This window comes from Homo sapiens, chromosome 1 (genome assembly GCF_000001405.40).
Source record: "Homo sapiens chromosome 1, GRCh38.p14 Primary Assembly".
Classification (NCBI taxonomy): domain Eukaryota; kingdom Metazoa; phylum Chordata; class Mammalia; order Primates; family Hominidae; genus Homo; species Homo sapiens.
The window spans coordinates 39,605,059-39,622,360 of record NC_000001.11 but is presented as its reverse complement, the minus strand read 5'-3'; the positions used below and the strand labels follow the sequence as shown (position 1 = coordinate 39,622,360).

General features: G+C 49.0%; 3 annotated features.

The window, feature by feature from the left end:
* Window positions 8,703–8,872: an enhancer, noted in NCBI's record as "experimental_7957 CRE fragment used in MPRA reporter constructs". NCBI's record gives its function as "activates a minimal promoter by MPRAs in K562 erythroleukemia cells, with activity observed for both the introgressed and non-introgressed 1:40079246 variant alleles {active_cell/tissue: K562}" and the evidence as "EXISTENCE:reporter gene assay evidence [ECO:0000049][PMID:34662402]".
* Window positions 10,412–10,581: an enhancer, noted in NCBI's record as "experimental_7954 CRE fragment used in MPRA reporter constructs". NCBI's record gives its function as "activates a minimal promoter by MPRAs in K562 erythroleukemia cells, with activity observed for both the introgressed and non-introgressed 1:40077537 variant alleles {active_cell/tissue: K562}" and the evidence as "EXISTENCE:reporter gene assay evidence [ECO:0000049][PMID:34662402]".
* Window positions 12,055–12,224: an enhancer, noted in NCBI's record as "experimental_7951 CRE fragment used in MPRA reporter constructs". NCBI's record gives its function as "activates a minimal promoter by MPRAs in K562 erythroleukemia cells, with activity observed for both the introgressed and non-introgressed 1:40075894 variant alleles {active_cell/tissue: K562}" and the evidence as "EXISTENCE:reporter gene assay evidence [ECO:0000049][PMID:34662402]".

Sequence of the window (17,302 nt, the reverse complement as noted above, 5' to 3'; positions counted from 1 at the left end):
AAACTTGGCCGGGCACAGTGGCTCACACCTGTAATCCCAGCACTTTGGGAGGCCGAGGCGGGTGGATCACCTGAGGTCAGGAGTTCGAGACCAACCTGGCCAACATAGTGAAACCCCATCTGTACTAAAAATACAAAATTAGCGGGGCATGATAGTGCACGCCTGTAATCCCAGCTACTTGGGAGGCTGAGGCAGGAGAATTGCTTGAACCCGGGAGGCAGAGGTTGCAGTGAGACAAGATTGCACCACTGCACTCCAGCCTGGGCGACAGGTGAGATTCCATCTCAGAAAAAAAAAAAAAAGAAACTTGGCACTTGGAGTGATGTGGGGTGACTGGGGAGGAGCAGTGTTCAGACTCAGCTCCACCTATTCATGGGAAACACTTAGATGCTATTTTAAAATATCCGTGGCCAGGCGCAGTGGCTCATGCCTGTAATCCCAACACTTTGGGAGGCTGAGGCAGGTGGATCATGAGGTCAGGAGTTTGAGACCAGCTTGGCCAATATGGTGAAACCCCGTCTCTACTAAAAATACAAAAAGTAGCTGGGCATGGTGGTGTGAACCTGTAGTCCCAGCTACGCAGGAGGCTGAGGCAGAAGAATCGCTTGAACCCAGGAGGCAGAGGTTGCAATGAGCCGAGATCGCACCACTGCACTCCAGCCTGGGCGACAGAGCGAGACTCTGTCTCAAAAATAATAATAAATAAATATAACAAAAAATAAATAAATAAAAATATCGGTACCCAGGCCCCAGAGATTATGATTTAACTTGCGTGGGGTGGGGCCCAGGCACCTCATCAGGAGGCGGGAAGAAGGGTTGGGATTTCTTTCCAAGCTGAGGTAGATTGGCATTCAGTAGGTGACTGGACTCGAACCTGTAGGCCTGGAGAAAGCTAATGCTTTCTGAGGAGCAATGCAGAAATTAATTTCCACAGGGGCCTCTCTGTCCCCTGGTCCCTCTCATAGTGCCTGGCCCATAGTAGGTGCCTAAGAAATATTAGGTGTGCTGAAAGCCTTAGGAACTTGTAATTTACTAGCACTGAATATTTATGACTTTGTGGAAAACTCAAGACATTAGCCTCCTTCCCTCCTTCCTGGAGAGAGACAGTAGGAAAAATCAGGTCTATTAGCTGATCCCATTAATAACAGTAAACATTTGTGAGCCATTGATCTACACTGTCTCATAAAATTCTCACATAGCTCTGTGAGTAACTACCGCTATCATCACCATTTTACAGAAGAGGAAACTGAGACTCAATTTGTTAGTGAAAGTGCCCAAAGTTCACAACACTAATAAATATTCCAGCCAAAATTAAGACCTAGGCCTGTCTGATTCAGTCTTAGCCAATACAGGACACTGCTTCCTTCCCAGGCTTCCCCTTGGGATGCAATCCTGGCGATGTTCCATGGCAGCCATGCAGGCCTGGGGGCTGGACTGCTGTGTTAGCCTGGGAAGCCTTTGGTTCTGCCATGCTCTTCTCCCCTGTGCTTAGTAAGGAAGGGTAAGGCTCAGCCTCTATAACAAAGAGGCCTAGCAATCATTCTGTGGATGAAAGAAGATGGAAGTTTATTTGTCTCCCATGTAACTGCCTGGTGAACTTTCCAAGTCAGCAGGAAGCTCCATTCAACACAGACATCCTGAGACCCGGATTCCTTCTGTCTTGATCCCTCACCACCCACTAGGGCACTGTTGTGCCTACAAGGCTGCAGCTAGGTGTCCACAAGTTCAAGCCAACAGGAAAGGGAAGAGAGCCTGGTAGAGACATGACCACCGTCTTTTTTATTTTTTATTTATTTACTTATTTTTGAGACAGAATCTTGCTTGGTTGCCCATGCTGGAGTGCAGTGGCTGGATCTTGGTTCACTGGATCTTGGTTCACTATTGCCTCGACCTCCCAGGCCCAAGGAATACCCAGCCTCCCAAGTAGCTGGGACCACAGGTGTGCACCACCACACCTGGCTACTTTTTTAGTTTCTGTAGAGACAGGGCCTCCCTATGTTGCCCAGGCTGGTCTTGAGCTCCTAGACTCAAGTGATGCTCCCACCTTGGCCTCCCAAAGTGAGGGGATTATAGGCGTGAGCCACCACACTCAGCCTTGACCACAGTCCTAAACACTCAGAAGGAGCACATCTCCCTCCAGCCATGTTTCACTTGTGAGAACTTAGTTGGCTGCATCAAACTGCAAAGGAGGCTGGAAATGCATTTGAGCCAGTTCTTTGAAATACACGTGAATGGATATTGGCAGATAGTCTCTCTCCCCTCACCTTTACCTCATGGCTCAAAAAGTGAGAGGAATGAGGGAATTAAGGACATTAGAAGCTACTCACTGGTGTGTGCGCACACACGCACACATTGACCTGGAGGTCAGTTTACTTTGAGCTTGAGGAACTAGGTATAGAGGCACCACCTGCCACTCTGATCCCACAAGGGTGGGTTGGATGCCTCCCAGCGGAGCAGTGTCTGTACTGGGCTTGCCTCCCCAGAGAACTCCCTCAGAAAACCTAGTGTAAGACAAGAAGTTTTGTTGCTTTAGGATGGCCAAGGGCCACAAGCTGCCTGGTGATCAGCATGACCTGGAGGGATTGAGTACCATGTGGCATCCTGAGGGGCTCCTGTCACCATCCTGGCTCTGGCCTAGGCAAGAGGTACTGGCCGATGCATACACCTTCCCTGTCCTGTTGACTGTCACTGATTTCTCCTCCCCATTGCCCAAGACACAATGAGCCCTGTAGCTCTGGTGCAAGGCCATGACCTCAGAGGGCTGTGGGGTGATTTGTGAAAGTTGAATCTCTCATGGATTGGGCTGCTGAGAGGCGCTCGTTAATTACTTGGTAGTGGCAGGTGAAAACAGGGCAGGTGTTGGATATCCAAAGATAGACACCAGGATCTCTGGACTCTTTCTTTTTGCTTCATGTGGGAATCAAAAGGAGCAAGGCTGTTGTTCAGCCCCTGAAGCTCAGAAAGCTGGCTGACTGACCTACACTGCCCTCAGCCCAAGGGCCATTTCAAGCCTATGCTTTTGCTCAGGGCTTTCAGCAAAATCTGGGTTCCACTGCTCTGCTCCAAGAAGTCCAGTATAGTCACCCCCCATATTCTGGGCACCCCATGTATTCCATTAGAGCCTCTGAAAATTAATGGACCAACTGGGCGCAGTGGCTCACACCTGTAATCCCAGCACTTTGGGAGGCTGAGGTGGGTGGATCACTTGAGGTCAGGAGTTCGAGACTAGCCTGGCCAACATGGTAAAACCCTATATCTAATAAAAATACAAAAAATTAGCCGGGTGTGGTGGTGGGCACCTGTGATCCCAGCTACTCGGGAGGCTGAAGCAGGAGAATCTCTTGAAGGCGGAGGTTGCAGTGAGCCAAGATCACACCACTGCACTCCAGCCTGGGCAACAAGAGCGAAACTCCATCACACACACACACAAAAAAAAAAGAAAAAAGAAAACTAATGAACCATCCATTGCCTAAAACTCCAGCAACCCTAAAAGGACCCAATCAACCAGAAGAAAAAATACTAATACCTCATATCATACAGCAACCTAACATTTCAAAGTGCTTTCACATGTGTTAGTTCATGCACACCTGACAACAGTTTAACTGAGGGAGCCAGGGCAGGAATTATTATCTCCATTATGCAGATGAGGAAACTGAATCTTATTTCAAGTAAAATGATCTGCCCTAGATCAGAAAAACAGTAAATGAGCTGGGCATGGTGGCTCACACCTATAATCCTACCACTTTGGGAAGCCAAGGTGGGAGGATCACTTGAGCTCAGGAGTTCAAGACCAGCCTGGGCAACATTAGTGAGACCTCGTCTCTTTTAAATTGGCAAAGCTTGGCCAGGCATGGTGGCTCACGCCTGTATTCCCAGCACTTTGGGAGGCTGAGGCAGGTGGATCACCTGAGGTCAGGAGCTTGAGAACAGCCTGGCCAACATGGTGAAACCCCATCTCTACTAAAAAGTACAAAAATTAGCTGAGCATGGTAGCAGGAGCCTGTAATGCCAGCTACTCAGGAGGCTGAGGCAAAAGAATCGTTTGAACCTGGGAGGCGGAGGTTGCAGTGAGCCAAGATCGCACCATTGCACTCCAGCCTGGGCAACAAGAGCGAAATTCCATCTCAAAAAAAAAAAAAAAAGCAAAGCTTATTTGGATCATAGTGGAAAATCCAATCACAAACAGCCACAGAGAAATAATATATGTTACCCAGCAATTACCAAGCACTCACCATAGGTGGGCACTGTACCAAGGGCTTTGCATGCAGAGTCTGGGCTTATCTGCATGACTCCCTGATTTAGGTTTCAGTTGATTATTGTGTCCAATTTACAGATAAGGAAACAGAGGCTCAAAAAGATCAACTAATTTGTTCAAGGAGACACAGCTATTAGGGGTCAGAGCTCTTAGCTGTCAAGTTCTACAGCCTGTGAAATGCTGTATCTTCTGTATCCACTCCTTCCAAACAATTGAGAGAGGGTATCCAGGCCTCTCAACAGCTCCTGGCTTATATCACAAGGCTTTGGCCTCTGACTCATCAGTATCAACTCACCAACCCTTCAGGACACAGAGATCAGCTCTGTCTGCCTCCATCCAGTAATATTCATGGGGCACCGAGTCTGTGCCAGGTTCTCTTGTAGGTGCTGGATACAGCAATGAAGAAAACGGAACCCCAGATGCATGGAGCTGGCGTTCCTGTTGGGGGAGACAAATGAGAAACCACTAGGCAAATATATATGTACCATGTTTGATGGTAAAGGGAGATTAGGGGACAGAGAGTGATGGGAGAGGTGGTATTTTTCTATAAGATGGACAGAGAAGGCCAAAGGTAGCGTGGACAGAAACTTCAGGGAGGGAGGGGGCCATGAGACTCTGAGGGGAGGGAGGCCAGGCCGGGAGCAGCAAGGGCCACCCTAGAGTGGACTTGCAGTGTAGACAGCAGGAGAGAGTGGCAGGAGACAGTCCACCAGGGGGAAGGGGAGCGGGTCACGGGAAGGGTTTAGATTTTCTCTGAGGCAGGCAAGAGGGCATTGGAAGGTCCAGAGAAGAGGAGATTCATAACCTGCATTCCCTGTGAGGAGGGGCCTGGGGGCCCAGTGGGAAGAGCCAACTGAGATGGGATAGGGTGGAGGCAGGCAGGCCATTAGACCCCTCAGTCCCACTGACCTCCTTCCCACCCCCTCAATCATCCCTCACAGAACCCACCATCACTCAAAGCCACTCATTTCAGGAATCCTGATTTCAAACATCCCATTCTCCAGCCACCACTTCCCTTCCTTCCTCTTCCTCTGCTCAGGATCCTTGTCGCAGAAATTCTCCCCCTTCAAGGAGGTCTTCAAACCACTGATTTTACCACCCGCTTACCAGCCATTCCTGGCTTCACGTCCCTCCCTCCCTAGCTAGTGGCCCATTGACCCTCATCTCTGTCGTTGCCCCTTGCAAGCAGCCTCTCTCCTTTAACCATCTCTCCCTCCATTGCCGTCACCAGGTGTGGAACAGACTTCAGAGTGGCTCCTTGCCCCTGCCCCATGATGTCCATGCCTTGTGTGGTCCCCTTGCATCCGGACAGAACCCATGACTTGCTTCTAACCAAAAGAATATGGCAAACGTGAGGGATGTTACTCCCGTGAGCAAGCTGCATCACGTGGCACAGATAAGGGGATACTGCTCCCATGACTGCCTTACCTTGTATAAGACTGACTCAGGGCCGGGTGCAGTTGGCTCACGCCTGTAATCCCAACACTTTGGGAGGCCAACGCAGGTGGATCACCAAGTCAGGAGATCGAGACCATCCTGGCCAACATGGTGAAACTCCGTCTCTACTAAAAATACAAAAATTAGCTGAGCATGGTGATGTGCACCTGTAGTCCCAGCTACTTGGGAGGCTGAGGCAGGAGAATCGCTTGAACCTGGGAGGCGCAGGTTACAGTGAGCCGAGATCGTGCCACTGCACTCCAGCCTGGCAACAGAGTGGGACTCCATCAAAAAAAAGAAAAAAAAATTGACTCAGCCGGCTGGAGGCAGAGACGCCCTTGCTGGGTGGAGGCAGTAATCAGCCATGTTGGAGAAGCCCCCGTGGCAGGAACTGTGGGTGGCCGCAAGGGCTTCAGGGGCAGCCTGCAGCTGGCAGCCAGAAAAAGACCAGGTGCCCAAGCCAGGGCCCAGTCATATGGCACAAGGATATGAATTCTACCAACAACCTGAGTAAGTTACTCAACCTGAGTAAGTGGCTTTTCTCCTGGAGGATCCTCCAGGTGAGCCTGGCCAACAACCTGCGTGTAGCCTTGTGCAATACTGAGCCAAGGACCCAGCTAAGCAAGCCAAGCCATACTCCTAAGCCACAGAAGCTATAAGATAATCAATGGGCATTGTTGAAAGCACTAGGTTTACGGTCATTGTTACATAGCAATCAGTAACTAATACACCAGGCGAAACCTGACTCCTGCTCTACACCTGCTAGAAAAGACTCATTCAGGCTGGCGCAGTGGCTCACGCTTGTAATCCCAGCACTGAGGGAGGCCGAGGCGGGCGGATCACGAGGTCAGGAGATCGAGACCATCGTGGCTAACACGGTGAAACCCCGTCTCTACTAAAAATACAAAAAATTAGCCAGGCGTGGTGGCGGGCACTTGTAGTCCCAGCTACTCGGGAGGCTGAGGCAAGAGAATGGTGTGAACCCGGGTGGTGGAGCTTGCAGTGAGCCGAGATTGCGCCACTGCAGTCCAGCCTGGGGGACAGATGGACACTCTGTCTCAAAAAAAAAAAAAAAAAAAAAGAGAGAAAAAGAAAAGAGTCATTCAATCACGGTGACTTTGAGTGGGGGAACCTACTCTACTTCTGCACCCGGCTGGCTCTCCTGGTTTCCATGGTGACTCTGTGATTACTTGGCCTCTCTCCTCACAGCCCCCTCCCCTTTCCCACATTATTCTCCAAAAAAATGGTCCTGTTTCATGCCTCATGTTGAATACGGAGGGTTCTGGTAGTCTCCAGGATAGTATTATTTTTAAAAATCTGTGTTATCGAGGTGTAATTTATGTACAACAAAATTCGCCAATGTTAAATGTAAAATTTGCTGAGTCATGCCAGTGTAAACACTCAGGCAATCACCTCATAATTGTGATATAGAGCATTTCTATCACCCAGAAACTCCCTCTAAACCCTTTGCAGCCAATCACCTCCTCCAGTCTCAAGCATTGATCTGGTTTCTGTGTTTCTGCCACCATGGTTGTTTTTTGTTTTTGTTTTTGTTTTTGCTTTGAGACGGAGTCTTACTCTATCACCCAGGCTAGAGTGCAGTGGCACAATCTTGGCTCACTACAACCTCCACCTCCTGGGTTCAAGCCATTCCCCTGCCTCAGCCTCCCCAGTAGCTGGGATTACAGGCACACACCACCATGCCCAGCTAATTTTAGTATTTTTAGTAGAGACAGGGTTTTACCATGTTAGCCAGGCTGGTCTCGAACTCCTGACCTTGTGATCCGCCCACCTCGGCCTCCTAAAGTGCTGGGATCACAGGCGTGAGCCACCACGCCTGGCCCACCATGGTTTTGTCTATGTATAAATGGAATTAGACAGCAGGGAAACTTTTGAGTCTGGCTTTCTTCGCTTAGTGTAATGCTTTAGAAATTCATCAAGTTCTGTGAATGAGTTGCTCTTTCTTTTCGTTGCTGTGTAGTATTCCATTGTACAGATAGATCCCAATTTGTTTATCCATTCACCTTTTGATGCATATTTGGGTTGAGTCCTGAGGATGGTTTTCAGTCACAGAAAAGACTATTTGGAAGTTTATTTCTGGAGTAAACAATTAGTTTCTATTTATTAAAGTTACTAGTTCAAAACACTACTAATTCTTTCTTAACCTTAAGATTCAACCTATTGGCCAGGCGTGGTGGCTCACACCTGTAATCCCAGCAATTTAGGCAGCCGAGACAGGAAGATTACTTGAGGCTAGGAGCTGGAGACCAGTATGGGCAACATATCAAGACCCCATGTCTACAAAAAATTAAAATTTAATAATAATAAAATATTTAAAAAGTATAAATAAAATTCAGCTTACAAACCTTGTTTGAAAATCTAGATTTTAGCAAATGCTTCTAAGGGGCTTTTTACAACTTTATATCTTCAAACGTAAATGAATAGGTTTGATTTTCTTTTTCAGTATCTCAGTGTGGAAGAAAAGTTAAATATTAAATTTGAACTCAACTGAACATGGACACAAACAATGGTCACCAAGTCCCTGAACAGGTTGTGTGAGCCCCTTGAGGCGTTCATCCAGCACTGTTTCGGAGGAATCTCTATTTCAATCTATTCCTATACATTAGTTATTGAAAAACAACACACAATCGCAAAAACAAGTTGACCTTTTTGTGTTCCTTGAGACCGATAATGAAGGGCCCTCGTGACCGGACCTCATGCCAAACAACTCGTTACAAAAAGAGCTAGGGTCCCAGCTGCGCTGAAGCTTCATGAGACCTCTCCTCATCTGTGCATGGATGAGTGGCCGACTCTGGAGCCCAGGCTGTTGCTTCCCAGTCTGGTGGTGAATCCTCCATAGTCTGGTGAGTGTAAATATGTGTATATCTCTTTTCCCTTCTCCCCTTCCCATTGCAATTTGCTTATTATGTCATTTACTTATATCAATTTGCTTATTATATTAATTTCCTTATTATATCATTTGCTTATTATATCTGCATTGCCATTTACGTGGGATAAAGCTTGTTTACCCTTAAAGGTATTGTGTGTGTGCCTTTTCTTCTCCCCTCACGCAGCTCCCGCGGCTCCCACACAGGACGCTCAGTTATCTGTATAAACAAAACCTTCCTGAAGATTTAAATCATTCTTATACATCAAGTAAATCCAAGTTATAAATAGGATGAATCTTAAGTTCTCTCAAAAATCTGTTTATCTAAAAAACTAGGGCTGGGCACTGTGACTCACACTTGTAATCCCAGGACTTTGGGAGGCTGAGGCTGATTGCCTGAGCCCAGGAGTTTGAGAACAGCCTGGGCAATATAGTGAGACCTCATCTCCACAAAAAATTTAAAAATTAGCCAGACATGGTTGCGCACGCCTGTGATCCTATCTACTCAGGAGGCTGAGGTGGGAGGATCACTTGAGCCGGGGAGGCAGAGGTTTCAGTGAGCTGAGATCCAGCTACTGCATTCCAGCCTGGGAAACAGAGTGAGACCCTGTCTCAAAAACAAAAACAGAAAACAAAACAAAAACCCTAAATGTATCTAGATTATTTCTTTGAACAGAAATATTAATGCTAAGGTTTTTTGTCTTTGTTTTTTATGAGAACGGGGTCTCACTCTGTAGCCCAGTCTGGAGTGCAGTAATGCAATCTCATCTCACTGCAACCTCTGCCTCCCGGGTTCAAGCGATTCTTCTGCCTCAGCCTCCTCAGTAACTGGGATTACAGGCACGCAGCACCACACCTGGGTAATTTTTGTATTTTTAGTAGAGACGTGGCTTCACCATGTTCGTCAGGCTGGTCTCGAACTCCTGACCACAAGAGTTCCGCCTGCCTCGGCCTCCCAAAGTGCTGCGATTACAGGCGTGAACCACCATGCCCGGCCAATGCTAAGATTTAAATTTTTGGTTTAGCATGCTAGTCTTAGTTCTAAATCTTCCTGAGGTTATGTTACATAAGTATCCTCATCAAGGACACTCTAAGGAAGAAAGTTCCATCACCGGTAACAGAGGTTAATTAATTTTTCATCTTCTAAGGTTACAGATGTGTTCCACAAAGAAAAAAAAGGCCGGGCACGGTGGCTCACGCCTGTAATCCCAGCACTTTGGGAGGCTGAGGTGGGCGGATCACGAGGTCAGGAGATCGCGACCATCCTGGCTAACACGGTGAAACACTGTCTCTACTAAAAATACAAAAAATTAGTCGGGCGTGGTGGTGGGCGCCTGTAGTCCCAGCTACTGGGGAGGCTGAGGCAGGAGAATGGCGTGAACCCGGGAGGCGGAGCTTGCAGTGAGCCCAGATGGCACCACTGCACTCCAGCCTGGGTGACAGTGCGAGACTCTGTCTCAAACAACAACAACAACAACAACAACAACAACAAAACAAAACAGACCAAAAAAAACCACAGTCCTCCCAGTTAATTGAGATCATGTGCCCACTAAGAAAGACACCTGTGGGGCTGCAGTGGCCAGCCATGCCCTCAGCACGGCACAAATTCTGTTTGTGCCACTGAATCTCTCCCCAAAGGGCTGCTGAGAGGCCTGTTTCTATAGCTGGGCTGGGAATGAGACAGAGCCCCTTGCAGGCTTTAGAGCTCTTCCTGTTGATTCAGGACTAAAAGCTTTTCATTCAACTTGTGATGTCAGAAAGCTGGGTGACTGACCGCCACTGCACAGTGACTTGATGGCCCCTTTGAAGCACAGGCCCACAAGGATTTGCAGGTAAATTGCAAATGGCCAATATCCAGTACAAACAGCCACCCACTGTGCCTGTCCCCCTGGCAGCCACTGCTTTTGGATTACTGCCCCTTCACCCTTGGTAATGCAGGCACACGGGCACGCAGTGCGGGACTGGTGGGCAACTCTGCCCACGGCCAGGCACAGGATCCACTAGGCAAAGCCAGCTGGGCTTCTGAGTCAGGTGGGGACTTGGAGAACTTTTATGTCTAGCTGGAGGATTGTATATGCACCAATCAGCACTCTGTGTCTAGCTGGGGGTTTGTGGATGCACCAGTCACCACTCTGTATCTAGCTAATCTGGTGGGGACTTGGAGAACTTTTATGTCTAGCTAGAGGATTGTAAATGCACCAATCAGCACTCTGTGTCTAGCTAAAAGATTGTAAATGCACCAATCAGCACTCTGAGTCTAGCTAAAGGTTTGTAACGCACCAATCAGTGCTCTGTGTCTAGCTAATCTAGTGGGGACTTGGAGAACTTTTGTGTCTAGCTGAAGGATTGTAAATGCACTAATCAGCTCTCTGTGTCTAGCTCAAGGTTTGTAAAGGCACCAATCAGTGCTGTGTCTAGCTAATCTAGTGGGGACTTGGATAACTTTTGTGTCTAGCCAAAGGATTGTAAATGCACCAATCAGCACTCTGTGTCTAGCTCAAGGTTTGTAAACACACCAATCAGCACCCTGTCAAAACAGACCAATCAGCTCTCTGTAAAATGGGCCCATCAGCTCTGTAAAATGGGCCCATCAGCTCTGTAAACTGGACCAATCAGCTCTCTGTAAAGTGGACCAATTAGCAGGATGTGGGTGGGGTCAGATAAGGGAATAAACGCAGGCTGCCGAAGCCAGCAGTGGCAGCCTGCTTGGGTTTCTCTTCAGCATGTGTAATGCTTTGTTCTTTTGCTCTTTGCAATAAGTCTTGCTGCTGCTCACTCTTTGGGTCTGCATGCCTTTATGAACTGTAACGTGGTGAAGGTCTGCAGCTTCACTCCTGAGGCCAGCGAGACTACAAACCCACTGCGAGAGATGAACAACTGCGAACGGGAGGAACGAACAACTTCAGGCGCACTGCCTTAAGAGTTTTAACACTCACTGCAAAGGTCTGCAGCTTCACTCCTGAAGCCAGGGAGACCACGAACCCACCAGAAGGAAGAAACTCTGAACACGTCCGAACATCAGAAGGAATAAACTTTGGACACGTTATTTTTAAAAACTGTAACAGTCGCCGTGAGGGTCTGCAGCTTCATTCTTGAAGTCGGCAAGACCAAGAACCCACCAATTCTGGAACACAGTAAGACATCCCTGCCCAAAGCTAAACCTAACTCATCAAGGGAGGCATAGGAGACAAGACCCACTTGCCTTCCCTGGACCAACTGGTGCCAGCTCTGGTGAGAAACTGAGGCCTGTCTGCTGGGCCTCACTCAGGACCCAGTTAATGGGTGACTGGGTTTGAAGATTTCTAAGCTTGTTCCTGTTGTCTGTGAGTCACTGACCTGAAGGGCCTGGCCCCATGCACTGAACGGGGGCAGGAGTCAGTGTCACCCCCGCTGCCTCGGCCCCAGGACGGTGCTCCTGGTGGGAGACCCCGCCTGGGGAGGCGCAGGGCGGCTGGGAGAAATTCTGAGGACAAGGCCCGCGCTGCAGGAGCAGAGGGAGGAGCACAGGCCCCGGTCCCGCGCAGGCTCTGCTGTCCTCCCTGTGTGGTCGGGACGAGGCCCGGCTCAGAGCCGCCAAATTCACATCTGCAACCCAGGCCCCTGAGGGTGCAGGCTTGGACATCAGCAGCCAAGGCCCAGAGGCGTCCAGAACGAACACGTCCAAAGCCCAGCTCCTGCCCCCGCGGCCGGCTCCGGGACAGACTCCTCCCCAAATCTTCCTGCTCTCGGGAAATGGCAACTCTGTTCTTCCAGCTACTCAGCCCGAAAGCCCTGGAGTTGACCCTGACACCTCTTCTCTCACAGCCCGCACCCAGAGTGCCCGCACATCCTCTCCGCTCCATCTTCAGGATACATCAGAAAGTGTCCGTGTCTCACCGTGGGCGCCACGGCCGAGGTCCAAGCCCGCACCAGGTCCCCTCGCCCCTGCGCCTCCTCCGGAGGCTCCCTCCCATCACCCGGGTCCCTGCAGCCCCCGCTCCTCCCGGCCGCCAGAGGGCGCTTTGAACACTGCAGGCCACCGAGTCTCCCTTCTGCTCTGAGCCCTCCAGGGACTCCCAACCAGTGCAAAGGCCGGCGCCCTCCCAGTGGCTCCAGGCTCACCATCGGCTCCCCACCTCACTTCACCGCTGGCCCTGTTTCATCGTCCTCGCCCCATTCTTCCCTCCCTTCTGCGACCGTGGCCAGTATTAGAGCATTCCTGAGAAGAGAGATTTATTTTAAGGAACTGGCTCATTTGATGTTCAGGTGACAGGCAACTCTGAAATCCACAGGGCAGGCAGGTTGGCAGCCTGGAAATTCAGGAAGAGTTGATGTTGCATTTTCAAGCGCGAACGCTGGAAACTCAAGTCGAATTTCGATGTTGCGGTCTGGAGGCAGAAATCCTCCTTCCTCGGGAGACCGTAGTCATTATTCTTAAGGTCTTCAACCGAGTGGCCCGCCCACCATATAGAGGGTCATCTGCTTTACTCAAAGTCTACTAATTAAATGTTAATCACATTCCAAAGTTTGCCTTCGTAGCAACAGCTAGACTTGTTTGTCCAAACCATGGGCACCACAGCCTAGCCAAGACGACATAAAATTAGCATCACATGGTCCCTTTCCCCTTTCTTGAAGGCCGGTGTGGTCCAGCCTCCAGCCCTTATCCTCACTCCTCTTTGCGCAATATTCTGCTCCTACGCATGCGCATGAGTCTTAGCCTCCTAGCTGGCTGCCTCACCTCCTTTGGATTTTTCTGGATGTCGCCTCAGAGCAGCTGCCTCTGACAGCCCCATTTAGGTAGCAAGCCTTCCTCCACCAGCACTCCCAGTCCTCTTCCATGCTCTATTTTTGGCCATATTCGTTCATATTCATGGGGAAAAAAATACAAACTTTTCTTATTTTGTTGTCCATCTCCCTTTCTAGAATATAAGCTCCAACAGGTAAGCTCTGTACGAGTATGATTGCTACCCCAGTACCTAGAACAGTGGTACTAGAACAGGGTAGTTGCTTAAGAAATACTGGTTGAGTTAATAATAGCTTGAATTTAAGTACTTATTAAGGACCATACGCTGTTCTAAACACTTTTTGTGTTTTGTTTTGAGACGGAGTTTAGCCCTGTCGCCCAGGCTGGAGTGCAGTGGCGCGATCTCGGCTCACTGCAAGCTCACCTCCCGGGTTCATGCCATTCTCCTGCCTCAGCTGCCAGAGTAGCTGGGACTACAGGCGCCCGCTACCACGCCTGGCTAATTTTTTTGTATTTTTAGTAGAGACGAGGTTTCACCGTGTTAGCCAGGATGGTCTCGATCTCCTGACCTACTGATCCGCCCGCCTCGGCCTCCCAGAGTGCTGGGATTACAGGCGTGAGCCACTGCACTCAGCTGTTCTAAACACTTTTAATGTATCATTTCATTTTTGCAATAATTTTACAAGGTAAGTTCTAATATCCCCATACACAGATCAGACAATTGAGGCACAGATCACTTATGGTGCTAGCTAGTATGTGAAAGAGCCAGAATTTTAATCCAAATGGTCTGACTCCAGAGACTGAATTCTTAGCCACTCTGTTATGCTGCTTTCCATGAGTGAATGAATTTTTTTTTTTTTTTTTGAGACGGAGTCTTGTCCTGTTTCCCAGGCTAGAGTGCGGTGGCGCGATCTCCGCTCACTGCAAGCTCCAGCTCCCGGGTTCACGCCATTCTCCTGCCTCAGCCTCCCGAGTAGCTGGGACTACAGGCTCCAGCCACCACGCCCGGCTAATTTTTTGTATTTTTTAGTAGAGATGGGGTTTCACCATGTTAGCCAGGATGGTCTTGATATCCTGACCTCGTGATCCGCCTGCTTCGACTGCCCGAAGTGCTGGGATTACGGGCGTGAGCCACCGCGCCCGGCCAAATTTTTTTTAAAAAGAATGAAAGAAGAATAATTGATTTGTACCCACACCAGAAACCATGAAATTTGGAGTCAGAAAAACCTAGGTTAACATTCCAGATTTGCTGTGTACTGGAATATATGATTTGGACAACTTTCTTTTCTCTCTCTCTTTAATTTTTATTTTTTCACACAAGGTCTCACTCTGTTGCCCAGGATGGAGTGGGAGTGCAGTGGCATGATCTCGGCTCACTGCAGCCTTCACCTCCAGAGCTCAAGAGATCCTCCTGCCTCAGCCTCCTGAATAGCTGGGACTACAAGTGTGCGCGCCAGGAGGCCCAGCTAATTTTATTTTTTTGTAGAGATGGGGTCTCCCTATGTTGGCCAGGCTGGTCTCAAATTTCTGGGCTCAAGCAATCCTCCCACCTCGGCCTCCCAAAGTGCTAAGATTACAAGCATGAGCCACCACACCTGGCCTGAACAAGTTTCTTAGATTTTTTTTTTTTTTTTTTTTTTTTTTGAGACGGAGTCTTGTTCTGTGGCCCAGGCTGGAGTGCGTTGGTGCAATCTCGGCTCACTGCAACTTCCGCTTTCCCGGTTCACGCCATTCTCCTGCTTCAGCCTCCCGAGTAGCTGGGAGTACAGGCGCCTGCCACCATGCCTGGCTAATTTTTTGTGTGTTTTTAGTAGAGATGGGGTTTCACCATGTTAGCCAGGATGGTCTCGATCTTCTGACCTCGTGATCCGCCCACCTCGGCCTCCCAAAGTGCTGGGATTACAGGCATGAGCCACCGTGCCCGACCAAGTTTCTTAGATTCTTGAAGTCTGAAGTTCCTAAGGACAGAGAAGGGGGAAAAAAATCGACCTTTTTTTTTCTTTTTTTTTTTTTTTTCATTTGAGACGGAGTCTTGCTCTGTCGCCCAGGCTGGAGTGAAGGGGCGTGATCTCGGCTCACTGCAACCTCTGCCTCCCGGGTTCAAAACGTTCTCCGGTCTCGGTCTCCCGAGTAGCTGGGTATTACAGGTGCCCACCATCATGCCTGGGTAATTGTTGTATTTTTAATAGAGACGAGGTTTCGCCATGTTAGCCAGGCTGGTCTCAAACTCCTGAGCTCAGGTGATCTGCCCGCCTCGGCCTCCCAAAGTGGTGGGATTACAGGCATGAGTCACCACGCCCGGGCAAAAAAAAAAAAAAAAAATCTACCTTTTTTTTTTTTTTTTTTGAGACGGAGTCTCGCTCTGTCGCCCAGGCTGGAGTGCACTGGCTCGATCTCGGCTCACTGCAAGCTCCGCCTCCCGGGTTCACGCCATTCTCCTGCCTCAGCCTCCCAAGTAGCTGGGACTACAGGCGCCCGCCACTACGCCCGGCTAATTTTTTGTATTTTTAGTAGAGACGGGGTTTCACCGTTTTAGCCGGGATGGTCTCGATCTCCTGACCTCGTGATCCGCCCGCCTCGGCCTCCCAAAGTGCTGGGATTACAGGCAAAAATCTACCTTTTAATCCACCATACGTTAGCTTCTTTAAAGCCCTTTTGTCACACTGGATCCGGTTTTATAAGCCATTACTGCCCTCTAGTGGTCAGTTGGAATAACGGCATAACTGCTATGATAAATACAAACTCCCCAAATGGTGTCGCCCAAAGGCTAGTAGTTTCTACAGATAAAACAGCCCATCGTTTTTTAGTCTCCTGGATGCTGTTAGTCTTCAAGGACTAAGATCAGGGTTTCTCCAAAGGAGCCAGGGAGGATCATCCCATGTAGGCCCTTGTAGGAGAGAATGGCTCCAGGGGAATTACCCTGATGAAAAATACGTCACCCACACTTCCACACCCAAACAAATGAGCAAAGGATAACAGGCTTGTTGGGACTCACAGCTCAGTTGTCCAGACCTTCAAAGAATATATTCTCACTATGTGATTCATTTTATGTGTCAACTTGACTGAGTCATGGACTGCTCGGTTTATTTGGTCAAACATTGTGAGTGTATCTGTGAGGCTGTTTTTGGATGGGATTAACACTTGACTGAATAAAGCAAACTGCATGCCCCCATGTGGGTGGCCCTCATCCAGTCAGACCTGAATAGAACAAAAAGGCCACCCCTCCCTCAAGTAAGAGGCAATGTCTCCTGCCTGACCGTATGAGCTGGGACATGGGTCTTTTCCATTCTATAGATTTGAACTGAAACATTGGCTTTTCTTGGATCTCAAGCCAGTAGACTTTCAGACTGGAACACACATTGGCTCTCCTGGGTCTCCAGCTTGCTAACTGCAGATCTTGGGACTTCTCAACCTTCATAATCACATAAGCCAGTTTCTCATAATAAATAAATGGGTCCTGGCCGGGTGCAGTGGCTCACGCTTGTAATCCCAGCACTTTGGGAGGCCAAGGTGGGCGGATGACAAGGTCACGAGTTCAAGACCAGCCTGGGCAATATGATGAAACCCAGTCTCTACTAAAAATACAAAAATTAGCTGGGCCTGGTGGCAGGCGCCTGTAGTCCCAGCTACTCGGGAGGCTGAGGCAAGAGAATCGCTTGAACCCGGGAGGTGGAGATTGCAGTGAGCCAAGATTGTGCCACTGAACTCCAGCCTGGGCGACAGAGCGAGACTCCATCTCAAAAAAAAAATAAATAAATAAAAATAAGTCCTGTTGGTTCTGTTTCTCTGGAGAGCCCTAATACATTTTTTTTTTTTTCGAGACAGGCTCTTGCTCTGTCACCCAGGCTGGAGTCCAGTGGCGCTATCTCGGCTCACTGCAACCTCCGCCTCCCGGGATCAAGAGAATCTCGTGCCTCAGCTTCCAAAGTAGCTGGGACTAAAAGCATGTGCCATCACACCCAACTAATTTTTGTATTTTTGGTATTGATGGGGTTTCACC